This window comes from Homo sapiens, chromosome 1, assembly GCF_000001405.40.
Source record: "Homo sapiens chromosome 1, GRCh38.p14 Primary Assembly".
Taxonomy (NCBI): Eukaryota; Metazoa; Chordata; class Mammalia; order Primates; family Hominidae; genus Homo; species Homo sapiens.
Window position 1 is genome coordinate 233,134,252 of NC_000001.11, and position 13,379 is coordinate 233,147,630.

At 40.1% G+C, this 13,379-nt stretch overlaps 1 protein-coding gene across 8 annotated transcripts in view; it reads right to left on the minus strand.

Moving 5' to 3' along the window:
- PCNX2 (pecanex 2) overlaps positions 1-13,379 on the minus strand; it is a 343,895-nt gene that overhangs the window by 150,817 nt on the left and 179,699 nt on the right. For all 8 annotated transcript variants that reach the window (XR_001737430.2, XM_047430870.1, NM_014801.4 and 5 more), the window contains 2 exons: positions 5,463-5,604; positions 762-939 (listed from right to left, as the gene is read on the minus strand). Coding sequence is in view for 7 of the 8 variants with exons in the window: in XM_047430870.1 (XP_047286826.1) it covers positions 762-939; positions 5,463-5,604 (320 nt within the window). In the remaining variant the exon portion in view is untranslated. The remainder of the gene's footprint in view (positions 1-761; positions 940-5,462; positions 5,605-13,379) is intronic.

Genomic DNA, 13,379 nt, shown 5'->3' on the forward strand with positions numbered 1-13,379 from the left:
TCTTTCTATTTCTGCTTACAAACGTAGGTTTCATTACAGTGATCAGGCTAGATATGGTCATGGAGAACTCCCAAGTATCCAGAGGATTTTATTTCTCTCCCATTAATTAAACATTAGATACGAGCCCCATATATTTGCCTGAATTATAAGTAGGATTTCTCATTGCCCATGTATGAAGTTGCTCAACAGATGAAATCTTGACTTCAGACAAACTAAGCGTATTGGAAATACTCCAAGAGACCCTGCTCTTGGGTACCAGTTCCTTAAATTTATCTCAAGAGGAAAAAGAAAAGAAAACAGAAGAAAAAAGGAAAGCAGGAAGGCAGAGAGGCGGGAAGGCAGGCAGGGAGGGAGGCAGGAAGGCAGGAAGGAAGGTAAGAAGGGAGGGAGACAGGGAGGGAGAGACGGAGGGAGGGAGGGAGAGACCAGTGAACTTGGTTGCTAATCTTTAATTCATAGCATTTTAAGATCTAGGGAAATCTTACAATGAGATTGTTAACAGAGAAGAAGGTAATAAAATTTCAAGTCACACTAATGGCTAATTCATTTTAATTAGTGATTTTTAGCAAATAACATGGCATACTTACATTCCATGGGCAGTTTTCCCCAAATGGTAGCAAGAGTTTAACATACATGTATAATTCAATTTCATATCCTCCCATAATTTTTTTTATAAAGAATAAGTTTTAAACTCTTAAAACATTTGATAAGAACAGCCCCCTTTAAAATGTTAAAATGAAGAAAATAGCTAATTCACTTGCCTTGCTAAATAAAATGGACACCATGAAGAAATCCAGTAAGAAGCTCTCTGAAATATCTTTGTAGTCAAAGTGGAAAAAGATGACAGTGAAGCTCAAGTTAATAAACTGGTAAACCGGGTTGCAGAATGATGTCCGCAACAGCTTCATGCCAGCAATGATCATCAGAAAAATGTCCCAGCTGTTGGAAACAAAAGAAAAGATGCAATCAATGACAGTGTGCACACTGCTGGATGAGTTTCATTCGCTAACAATTCTCCAGGATTGATGGTTCATTAAGAACTTTACAGGCACAAAAAGCCAATCTAAGGGGCCCCATTATTGTCTGCATTTTACAGGGGTATAAACTGAATATCAAGGAATTTGAGGAACTTGTCTAAGGTCTCAAAGGGGCAGAACAAAAATGGAAATTCAGTCCTGAGTGACTCTCAAGCACAGTGTCTTTGCCATTACAACAGACATTTTCTTTCCATCACATGCTTTTCAAAGTCCCTCATGTTCTCCAGCAAGGGCACAGAGCTCCTTCTGAGCTTGTCTGAATTCACTACTGCAGTGATGATGGACATTTCCCAGAAATCCTAATGCCAAATGAGAAAACAGGCAACATGCTGCCCCTGCTAGAGTGAGCTCAGTGTATGCCTCTTCATGAGAAAAGAATCCAATTCGAACAGTGACATAACAGGTAGGAAATTCTGAATAGAGAAAATAATCCAGTATCTTCATAAAGCCTTTTCTATTTCTGCATATTAACTTCCAATGTTTCTCAGCATATTTGTCATCCTAGTGAACATAAGGTTTCTGCTCTCCCTTTTTTGTTGTTTAAAATTATATCATCAATGTGTTTTTCCCCCATAGAATGGGCCTTTTCAGTTAAGGAGCTCAGCAAAACAGGCAAAGAAATACCCTTCTAGGATTTTGCTTTGAGGACTGAAGTCCTGAGTGCTCTTACCTAAGGAGTCAGATTATTATTATTTACCCATGTAGGGAGTATGTGTCATGTGTACAATTCTCCAGATGATAAAGTCAACAATGAACAATCCATCTTGAGATTGGAGGGCAAATGATCACATGCCAGTGTAGCCCAAGAGAGCAGGCAAGTGCCTTCTTGAAGGGCCTGGCTTTCTGAAGACAGACACTGCACATTTTCACCAGACTCCCTCCAATTCTAACATGCTATGATATTTGGCAACTGCAAGACAGAGGTGGGAAAATTTCTAGAAAATGGTTGCACTTCTAAGAGAGGCTTTCTTTCCCTGGCTCAGTATAGAAAACTGGGGCCATGCCTCAATTGCCCTAAACCTAGAAGAATCTTGGACTCAGGAACCTTATCAGCATTATGAATATCTTATCCCAGAATGAGGTTATTTAAGAAGTACAAAATTGTCATTTTTGTCATAAAAAATACAATGTTGGAAATTCCGTATGCCTCAATCTGCTGTTTTTTGTGCCTTCAGACCTAGGACTGCAGTTGTTTCCACCTTGCCCCAGGATGTGTGAGGTGTGGTTTGCCCAAGGCCTTGTACAGCAGGCTTGGATTTGCTTCTGAGAAAAACTAGCACTTGATTCCATGCATACATCACATGGGAAAGTCTGTCTTTAGCCTCAACCTAGAGCCCCCTGTGTTCCTGCAGCAAGGCTGAACATTGCTCCATAACTGGCCTTCCTTTTCCAGTGCGCAACTAATGCCCAGGATGAAAATACAGTATGAAAAGATGACGTCAGGTCCAGTTGCCTTTAACAACAGCCCAAGGTACAAAAACCTAAAAACCCCTGTGGAAAGCCAAAGCCCTGTGGAGAAACCCCAATGATAAGGTATCTGAAGACTTAGGGATATTTTGGTTTTCAGGGGAGACTGCTGATTTTCTGGGTTATTCAGGCAAAATCCAGTTGAGAAGCAAATCTAACTTTCTGTTTCTGTGACCAAGGTTCCATGAACTGCATCCATTTTATGTTTAGTAGGGATGACTGGTTCAAACTGTGGGAGATCTTAAGGACTCATGTGCATGGCCTTTATAACATTGCAATAGTAACAGCTACCATTAATGACCCATAGATCATTGTATACAGCAGGTCCTCAAATAACGTTGCTTCATTCAATGTTGTTTCAGTATAACATTGATGGGAAAACAAAATGGATTCCTGGCCAGGACCCCACTGTCGGTGTGGAGTTTGTACATTGTCCTCATATCTGTGTGGGTTTTCCTCTGAGTTCTCCGGTTTCCTCACATATCCCAAAGGTGTGCACAGTAGGTGCACTGATGTGCTGACATGGTCCAGTGTGAGTGAGTGTGAGTGTGGGTGTGAGTGTGTTCTGCGATGGGAGGCATCCTGTCCAGCATGGGTTCCCACTGGGCACCCTGAGCTGCCAGGACAGGCTCCAGCCACTGGATGCACTGAATTGGAATATATGGGTAAATAATTATCTTAATTGTTTGTATTAATCTTTCCTAAATGTATGTATCATTCACATTTATTTCAATGTTTAACATTAAAGGTGTTTTGGTCTTTATTTAGAAGTTCGGTGATGTTTTTGTGACCAGAAATACGCTATGGAACATAATTCTTGTTTCTATCAATTAGCCCACAGTAAACTTTGTTTTATTTAGTTTTGTATTGGTTTTTATTAAAGTCACAGTTTTCAAGAACTTATCCAGGATGTTACGTGAAGATAGACTGCACTTAGCTGAAGGTTTTATAAAGGCTGAGGTAGCAATTGGTGAACAATGCCCTGGAACAGATGGAGAGCATCCTCTTAGATCAGGCTAAGAAACAGAAGCACCTAACAAGATACCCCAGTTCACCGACTCATTAATTTACCAGACCCCTACTTGGTTGTTCATGCATTCATCCTTCTAACGCTTACTAGTGGTTTGCTATTGAAAAGTTGAATAAGAAACAGTGCCTGCTGTTGAAAAGTTCACTCTGTGACTATTTAGTACAATGGCTCTCAAAAATCACAGGGAGGGGCTGGGCTTCTCTGGTTTAGAAAAGGTCTCAAAGTGATACCAATATAGAGTTTCCTGCTATCCTGTTTGAGAACAGTTGGTCTAGTAGGGTGCCTGAAACCTCGAAAAATGTTTTGTTTTTAATTCTACAGATGCATCAGGAATAGAAAGGAATTTCCACCTTTGGGTTCTGAGTGAAACAATTGCTGATGTGATCATCTGGGAGTTGAGGATATTCACAGCTATATAGATAACGTGCACCTTTCTGACTTTAGTGTCTGGAAAAAAATTACAGGGGATGGAGAATAATATTACTTCTAAATGGACCCTCTCTGAATTATTTATTTGACTCTGCTAGAGTCTTAGCCCTTGCATCTGCCTTCTCTAACAACTTGGCCTCAACCCCACAGGCTTAGCTCAAGGTCCTTGTCCTGAAGTTGAATAGGGAAAACTTTAAATCCTTTAGCTCAATTTCCCAGAGTGGCACTGGTACCTTCTTTGCTACTCTGGCTTTGAATATGTGTTCCCATTCGAGAAACTGAGGCTCTACCTTGTTCTCAGGGGGAGTTGCAGGGTCAACCAGGACTGTACCATACTGGGAATCCCTGCCTTAGAGAAGCTCACAAAGTTCTAAATTCTGGTCATCTCCTAGATTGGGTCCCACTTAAACTGTATAAGGGGTCTGAAGTCCAATCATCTGCTTTTCTAAATCCAGTGAAACTAATTCTCATCTCTGGATTTGAAGTCTAGAATTTTAAGTATCAAAGAACATAGAATTCTTGCCCTGGTCTGACAGAAACAGGTCTGGACTAGAAGGAAGGCAGAGTTCAATAAGGACAGGTTATGGGATCATTTCATTTAGTGTCTGCTTTGTGTGACTATGAATCTACTCAAAGTCCAACAGAGTATTAAAATGCCTTTTATCTTAGCCTGCTCAATCTTTGGAGAATATTAATTAATTTGTCCTCATGACACCCTGAAAGGAAGAGCAGGTTTGAATTAGCATGTTTGGGATTATGCATCAGGGTTGACTTGGATACATAGTGTTTAAGCAACGTGACTAATGAGCAAATCTGGGAAAGAATCTCTTTTATATCCTCCTACTCTAACAACTTCTTTGACCAGCAACTTTTGCCTTTCATCAGAATGACAAATCTACAGATTATCAAGGAGATTTCCATGTTGTAAATTCAGAATTAATTTTAATATATGAAACCAATAACTCGACTGTACATTGTTAATGCTTTGAAAGACATGGGCATCTTGACAGAATGAAGTCTCTGTGCCAGTTTTTAAATTACGAGGCTTCTCTTGATAAATTCAGAGACAGCAGTGACAGTGATTAATTTCCCCCTCCCACAAGCACAAAATGATAGAGTATTTGCTAAATGAAATGACATGAAGCAGTTCATAAAGCTCTAAGCATGATGTTAAGAACTCCAGGAATCCTGGACTCACACTGTGCTTCCGTCTTCTTATTAAGGCTCACTGACTAAGCTTCTGCAGGATGATTTTCAAATCTACTGACATTTATTCACAATATCATTTCAAGCAGATCTAACTTCATTTGCACCCCAGTCATTCTACAATAACTGTCTAGCTCCAGTGGGTTTTGAGTAAAAGACCACCATGGCTTATTTTTACATGGCCAATCACAGTCGGTAAAGGTTGGCTTCTTCTGCAGATTGTTTACAGAAAATTCACTCGATTTTGAAAATGTGACCCAAATCATTATGAAGATAAACCATTAACCACTTACTGGGTACCAAGTCTCCGGTGATTGCTTATTAAAAATGCATCAATAGTGAGGGCATTCAAAATTAGCGCTGGGTACAAGATGTATTTTTCAAAACACTGAAGCCAAACATAGAGTCTTTCGAACCACATTAAATGGGCAACATCTGAAAGAAATATAAAAACCACTTAGAACAACCACCGATCAAAGTATTTTTCTTTAAGTACAGGTAATAATAAGTAATATTCCCCCCCTTTAATTCAAAAGCTGCTAATTAAGAACTCGTGATACTAGACATGATATACCATTTTTTTCCAGGCAGCAACTGTTAGCTTTGCTTCTACACAGTTCATAAATAATAATATACATACAGTAATATAGGCCAGCATCCCAATTGTTCAAGTCAATTGATTTCTTCATATATAATTTACTGAGACCAATGAATGGGCTGTCACATAGCATCAAGTCATCTTAGCGTAGTAAGGGTGGAAGGTGAAGGATGAAGAGTTGGAAAAAATCCCTTATGTCTGTCTCCTTTTAAGCTAGGGTTCACTTCTGTGGCTGAAGCTAGTTTCTGGGCTTTCTTCTCTCCCTTTTTAATCTTTAAACCACAAACAAATCCCTGGGCAATATATGCAAATAAGACACAGCTGACTCCCAAACCCCAGCCACTATGAATCTATTACCTTCTTCTGAGTGCTTACAACAAAGGAAGTACCACAAAGATTGAAGTCTATTTCCATTAAGGGCTAAGGTTTTAAGTTAGACCAACCTGGGTTTGCATTCAGTCTCTACCAACCACTAGTGAATGACCTTGAATTATTAGCTTCATCTTTTCGAGCCTTAGTTTTTTGTGTCCTGCCCATCCTCTGAGTCTGCTGATGGGGAAGAGGTTCTTTCCACCTCCTACTCCTCATGGCAGGAGATGGGGTAATGAGGAATGCATGCTTGCCCATCTGGGGAGCCCGTGCTTTTCTCTCTGGGGAGGAGGAGCAGCTGGCGTGAGTGGTCAGAGCACAAACTTCCTTAGGTCACATTCAGCGGTGGGGAAATGCTTCATCCCTGCCTCTTGGAACTGGAACAAGAGCCAGGACTCTCCTCTGCTTCCCAACTTGAGGAGAGCACAGCAGGTTCAGGCCCAGGGCCCTCGGCTAGGCCCCTCTCATTCCCTGCCCCCTCCTCTCTGTCTGTCAGTAATTGGGAGGCTGCAGTGGGCCCCCACCTACCAGCAAATGAACCAGCTCTGCTGTGGGCTTCATGCTCTCCACAGCAAGCCTCAAAGCTTAAAGCTGCAAGGTGCCAGGCAACTCCATTACACCTCTGGAATCACATTCTTCAACAATTTATAGTAAAAAAAAAAACTTTACCCTACAATGACCTAGAGTTAAAAAGAGAGTTATGTAGTTTTTACATTGGGTTGCACAAGAACAACTCACAAAAGAGAAAAAGTTCAAGCTGACAAAACAGCCTGTTCCTTCCAGGTCTCTTATCCAAGATTAGCATACAAATTGTCTGTTTCCAATCAGCTTCACTGGGGCTCTGCATGACAGATCTCAGGAAGTATCATAAACACACACACACAAATAGAAACTATTTTACTTTCTACTTGATATGGCTCATATTTCTATATAAGAATATATCATCTTGGTAACTCAAAAACAAAACTACTTTCATTTGATTAAAAATATGAAGAGAGACCGGGTGCGGTGGCTCATGCCTGTAATCCCAACACTTTGGGAGGCCAAGGTGGACAGATCACTTGAGGTCAGGAGTTGGAGACCAGCCTGGCCAACATGGCGAAATCCGACTCTACTAAAAATACAAAAGTTAGCTGGGCATGGTGGCATGTGCCTGTAATCCCAGATATCCTGGAGGCTGAGGCAGGAGATTCACTTGAACCCGGAACCCGGGAGGCAGAAGTTGCAGTGAGCCGAGATTGTGCCGCTGCACTCCAGCCTGAGTGGCAGAGAGAGACTCCATCTCAGAAAAAAGAAAAAATATATATATATGTGTGTGTATATATATATCTGTGTGTGTAAATGTGTATATATATATATGGGTATATATGTGTGTGTATATGTATATGTGTGTGTGTGTGTGTGTGTGTGTGTATATGAAGAGAGACTTGGCATTTAGAAATCTTACTTGAAAAGAATTCATTCGAATGGGCTAGGAATGGTGAGAATAGACAGCGTGAAAGTCCTTCAAGATATTGGAAATAAAGTATTATCAGTACAAACACTCCAACAATGAGCTTAATAAATAGAAGAGACAATGAGAAATCATCCAGATAAAAATAAAAAGAAGTTTTAGTGACAGATGAAACAGGGAGGAAGAGTGGGAGGAGAATAAAGTTCAAAGAGCAAGGATGTTGGGCAGGAATTCAATGTTGAATATTCTTAATGGACAAAGTATAATTTTTTCTGGAGTAGATTTGGAAATGTGTTATTTCATAATGAATGTTTTATACACAATAAAGTCTAGACATATTAGACATTTTACATATAGATTAAAGGATTTTAATCTGTTGTGAAAGCATGTGGGCTGTCACATAGCATCAAGTCATCTTACAGTAGTAGAGTAGTAAAAAAAAATCTTCAAGACCACTCCTGCATTCCCTCCCAGCAACTGTCTTTGACCTCCACTTTCGGGAGAAAATAAAGTCTATGAGGTACAAATGCCCTCCAACTACAAATTCATTTATACTCATATCTACTACTGGCTCCTCCTGAAGCCAAGCTCCATCCATGTCCTGCATCCTGTGCTCCTGCCATCTTGGTTCAGTAGCCACTCCCTGCCTCAACACTAGCTCTTTCCCAAGGCAAGTGGCAAGATCCCAGTCTTCTCTGTGTGGAAAACTCACCTTCCACCCTGAACCTCCTTCTAGAGCTCACTCTGGCCTTTTCTGTACTTCTCAGCTTCTTGGAAAGCTTGTCAATATCTGATGTTCCCACTTCTGTGTCTCCCACTTACTGGGGACACCTCTGCCCCTGGGTATTTGCAGCTACCCTTGCCCTGACATGCATGTGGCAGGACCTCTTGTGACCTCCTGATGGTCAAATAACTGATACTTCTCAGTCTCTCTTACTGGACTTTTCTGACGCATAAAACATCACTAAATCCTCCCTCCTTTTGAAAACTCACTCTGCCCTTAGCTTCCCCATCCCACCATCCCCAGCTTGTGCTCAAACCTTTTGCTCTACTCTTCTCCCATTTCCTCTGTCATCTCCTCTTCCCCTATCCCTGGTCATCTGCTTTCCTTCTCCCCCTATTATTTTTCTTATCTTCTTGAGCTAATGTCTTCAACACCCGTAACTTTAATTATTACTTCCATGCTGATGACACTCAAATCTATAACTCAATATCTCATCTTTCTCCTGGACTTCAGATCTAAATAATCAATTGAATAGCTTCATCTGATGTCCCAAAGGAACTTTCAAATACAACATGTCACAAACGTAATGCTGTCAACCTGTACACACCTTCTCTTCCTCATACATTCTTGCATTCACTTAGCCATGCAGACAATATACCCAGAGTCATCCTAAATCAGCTCTTCTCACTTCTCATAGCTGTACGTTGAAATCACTTCGGGGCAAAGCTGAAAAACACTGTCCTAAATGGTGATTCTCAAACATCAACATGCAAATAAGTCCCTTGTTAAGATGCAGAGTCTGATGCAGTAGGTCTGGAATGGAGCCAGACATTCTACATTTCTAATAAACTTCTAAGTGATGCAAATACTCCTGGACCTCAGGGAATACTTTCAGGAACAGCAGAGCCAGCAGTACCAGCATCCCCTAGGAATTTGTTACAAATGTAAATTCTCAGATTCAATCCTGGACCCAATGAGTCAGAAATTCTGCGGATTGGGCCCTGGGCAAGGCAATCTGTGTTTTGACGAGTCCTACAAGTGATTCTGATACATGCTCCAGTTTGAGAACCATTTTCTGGATGATCTTCCTCTATACATGGAGACTAAAGGACTGAAGGACTAAACTGGGTTGATTCCATGTGCTCACTCTCTGCATGTCTATCCCTTCTTTTCTGTCTTCCATGCTCTTAATCACTTTTGCCTAAAAAATTATAATTATCTTTTATGCAGATAAACTGTTTCCTAAACCAGCCAGATGTGTACACTGTATTCTAATCCTTCTTATCTGTCTCTACTTGAGGACTTGTTTCTTGCAATGATCCCCCATTCTCCTGCATTACTTGGATTTTTTTCTCTTTACCGAATCATTCTCATCAGAAAAAAAAATTGCTATAATATCTTCCATTAAAAATATACCCCAAGCCTGGGCAATATAGGGAGACCCTGTCTCTACAAAAAGTTTAAAAATAAGCTGGGCATGGTGGTGTGTGCTTGTAGTCCCAGCTACTTGGGAGGCTGAAGTAGGAGGATTGCTTGAACCCGAGAGGTTGAGGCTGTAATAAGCCGTGATTACACCACTGCACCCCAGCCTGGACAACAGAGCGTAGACCCTGTCTCAAAAACATGAAAAAAATACCCTCTTTTGGCCTTACATTTTCTTTCAGATGCTGGTTATTTTCCAGGCACTACCCGGAAAATATTTTCATTTTTTAAAAATGTAGCTACACTCATTTTCTCAACAACCTTATCTTCCTTTTCTTTTTAAGTTTACTTCAGTCAGGTAACTTTTTAAGTTTACTCCAGTCATCAAAACCTAGTTATAGAGTACATAACTAGGTGTAGAATTCATAGGTTATCAGGTGTGCATATAGCAAGCTTCAGCAGATAATGACAAATAATTGTCCAAAGGTATTGTGCCAATTTACACTCTCGCAGATGGTACCAGAGAGTTCCTTTTTGTTCCACATCTTTGCCAAAATGTTTTTTCTCTTCTTAATTTTTGCCATGCTGCCCTGTGTAGAGTGGTATCATATTATGGTTTTATTTAACATTTATTTAATGACTCATGCAGACGAGTATCTTTTTACATGTTTACTGGCCATTTGGATACACACTTTTGTGAAGTAGTTCTTCATTCTGTTGCCTGGTTCTTTTTCCTATTGGATTATATGTCTTTTCCTTATTGATTTTTGGGAGTTCTTTATACATTCTAGGTATGAGTCTTTAGCCAGTATATGTATGAAGAAAAACTTCTCCCATTTTATGGTTAGATTTTCACTCTCTTAATAGTATCTTTTATAAAAAAGAAATACATAATTTTAATATATTACAACTTCTCATTTTTTCCCACTTAGGGCCTTCGGTGCTATTTGTTGTTGTTGTTGTTTTGTTTTTTTTTTTTGTTTCTTTTTTTTTTTTGAGATGGAGTCTTGCTCTGTCACCCAGGCTGAAGTGCAGTGGCTCAATCTCGGCTCACTGCAAGCTCCGTCTCCCGGGTTCAAGCCATTCTCCTGCCTCAGCCTCCCAAGTGGCTGGGACTACAGGCGCCTGCCACCACGCCCGGCTAATTTTTTTGTATTTTTTAGTAGAGACGGTGTTTCACCGTGTTAGCCATGATAGTCTCAACCTCCTGACCTTGTGATTCGCCTGCTTCGGACTCCCAAAGTGTTGGGATTACAGCCATGAGCCTCTGCACCTGGCCGGTGCTATGTTTAAGAGAAAAAGATCATGATCACATTCTCCTATGGTTTTCTCTAAGACCTTTATTGCTTTATCTTTCACATTTAGATCAGCAAACTATCCAGCATTGATTATTGTGTATTGTGTAAGACAGGGGCCAAGACTCATTTTTTTCCATGTTAATATCTGATTGACTGCCACCATTTATTGAAAACAACTTCTATTTCCCCCAGCACTGGAGTGAACTGTGATGTTTTATGTGCCTCTACGTGTGCTAGATGCTTTCCTGGAATGACCCTGAGTCTTTTCTGCTTGAGAAATTCCTAATCTGTTTACAGGGCTGGCATCTCGCCTTCTGGAGACCTCAGGCCCCTTTGAGCCCCCTGCTTCCAATACAGTCACTACCGGAGGCTGCCAGGGGCAGGGCATTTGAAGCATCATTCTGGTAGGAGGAGGATTTACCACTGACAGTGTTTAGAATTCTCAGTACATGGTAACAGTAAAAAGGGGTAACTTTTAATTGGTATTTTTATTGTTTTAAAATTCTTTATAAGCCATGCACCCCCTTGCTGACTGCTCCTGGGCAGACCCCACCACTTCCTTACCTTCGGTGCTCTACTGACGTCCCATGTATGGAATAACCATTAGGTGTCTGCCAGACATTGAGCCAGGTGCTCTGTATATACTGGTGTAGCATCTCAAATCCAAAAACCTGGAATCTGAAATGCTCCAAAATCCAAAGCTTTTTGAGCACTGACATGACACCTAAAGAAATGCTCATACGCCACAATCCAAAAGAAACCATAATCAGAAATACGGTCCCAAGCATTTTAAATAAGAGGTACTCAACCTGTATTATTACTTCTAGCTTCAACGCAAAGAATGTTATTCCTTCACGCCATCACTGTACCCTGTGAATTCTATAATTTAAGGAAGTGTCACATCATAGAGTAATTATTCACTTAAATACGAATCTTCCCACTAGATTCTGAATTTGTTAAGGGTAGGTACTATGTACCTACTAGAATGTCTGCCAGAGAGTTGGGGTTTGGTAAATGATTATTACCTTATCATTTTTAGTGGTTGAGGGAATTCTGGATAATTACATTTAACAGAGGTTCTGGGGGAAAAAAGCAGTCTTTTTGAAGTACTTTTCTGATTATGAAATAAAAAAAGTAACTAGCGTATTAAACAACATTTCCTATTTTAATCTCTCATAAAGTACAATCAGTTACAGTTAAGTTTCTTTCTGTACAAAATTATTTTTTCTGATTTCTCAGTTTATAAGAGATCAACAGTGTCAGATTGAGGCCATCACATCAAATGCAATTCAGCCTGCTTATAAAAATACATTTACAGAGTTCTATCAACATTTGTCACCAATTCAGAGAGACATGACAACCTTAGCTATATTCCTGCAAAAAAAATGTAAATGAAGAGAAATATAAGCCAATCTCTTCCCAGTGCTATTAGAAAAACATATGAATTAAAGGAAACATTTGAGTGGCTGGGTCATCACTGTAGAATAGCCCGGGCACCATTTGGATGGGGGAGTAAGAACTAGATTTTCAAAAGCTTGTCACATTTACTTTTAGAAAATGACATTTTCCAGTGAGTGGAGATAGATTGATTTGAGTGGAGGGACATAATCCCATTACAGTCTACAAGGATTTACCACAGGTCATGGCAACAAAAGTAGGTTTTTCATAAGAATTTCAGTTTACTCATCTCAGAAACACATAAAACAATGAATTTCAAATAAAAGAGACAGCACTGATAAGCTCTGAATTCACTATCCATGCCTTTCCAAATATTTCAGAGTGAAATACTTATTCAGTGAGATTCTAACCATCTGAACTACCTGGGGGGTGTGTGTGTGAGCACGTGAAACTATGGTTGACCCTTGAACAAGGGGGAGGTTAGAGACACCAACGCTTGCACAGTCAAAAGTGCGAATTTAACGTTGACTCCCCCAAAACTTAACTACCATTAGTCTAATGTTGATCAGAAGCCTCACTGGTAACATAAACAGATGATTAACACATATTTTATCTGTTATATGTATTATATACTGTATTCTTATAATAAAGCATGCTAGAGAAAAGAAGATGTTATTAAGAAAATCATAAGAAAGAGAAAATATATTTCCTATTCATTAAGTGGAAGTGGATCACCATAAAGGTCTTCATCCTCATCATCTTCACGTTGAGTAGGCTGAGGAGGAGAAGGAGGAAGAGGAGGGGGTAGTCCTGCTGGCTCAGGGGTGGAAGAGGTGAAAAGGTGGAGGAAGTGGAAGGGAAGGCAGGAGAGACAGGAGCACTAGGTATAACTTTTACTGAAAAAAAAAAAAATTTATGTGTAAGTGGACCACACAGTTCAGACTTGTG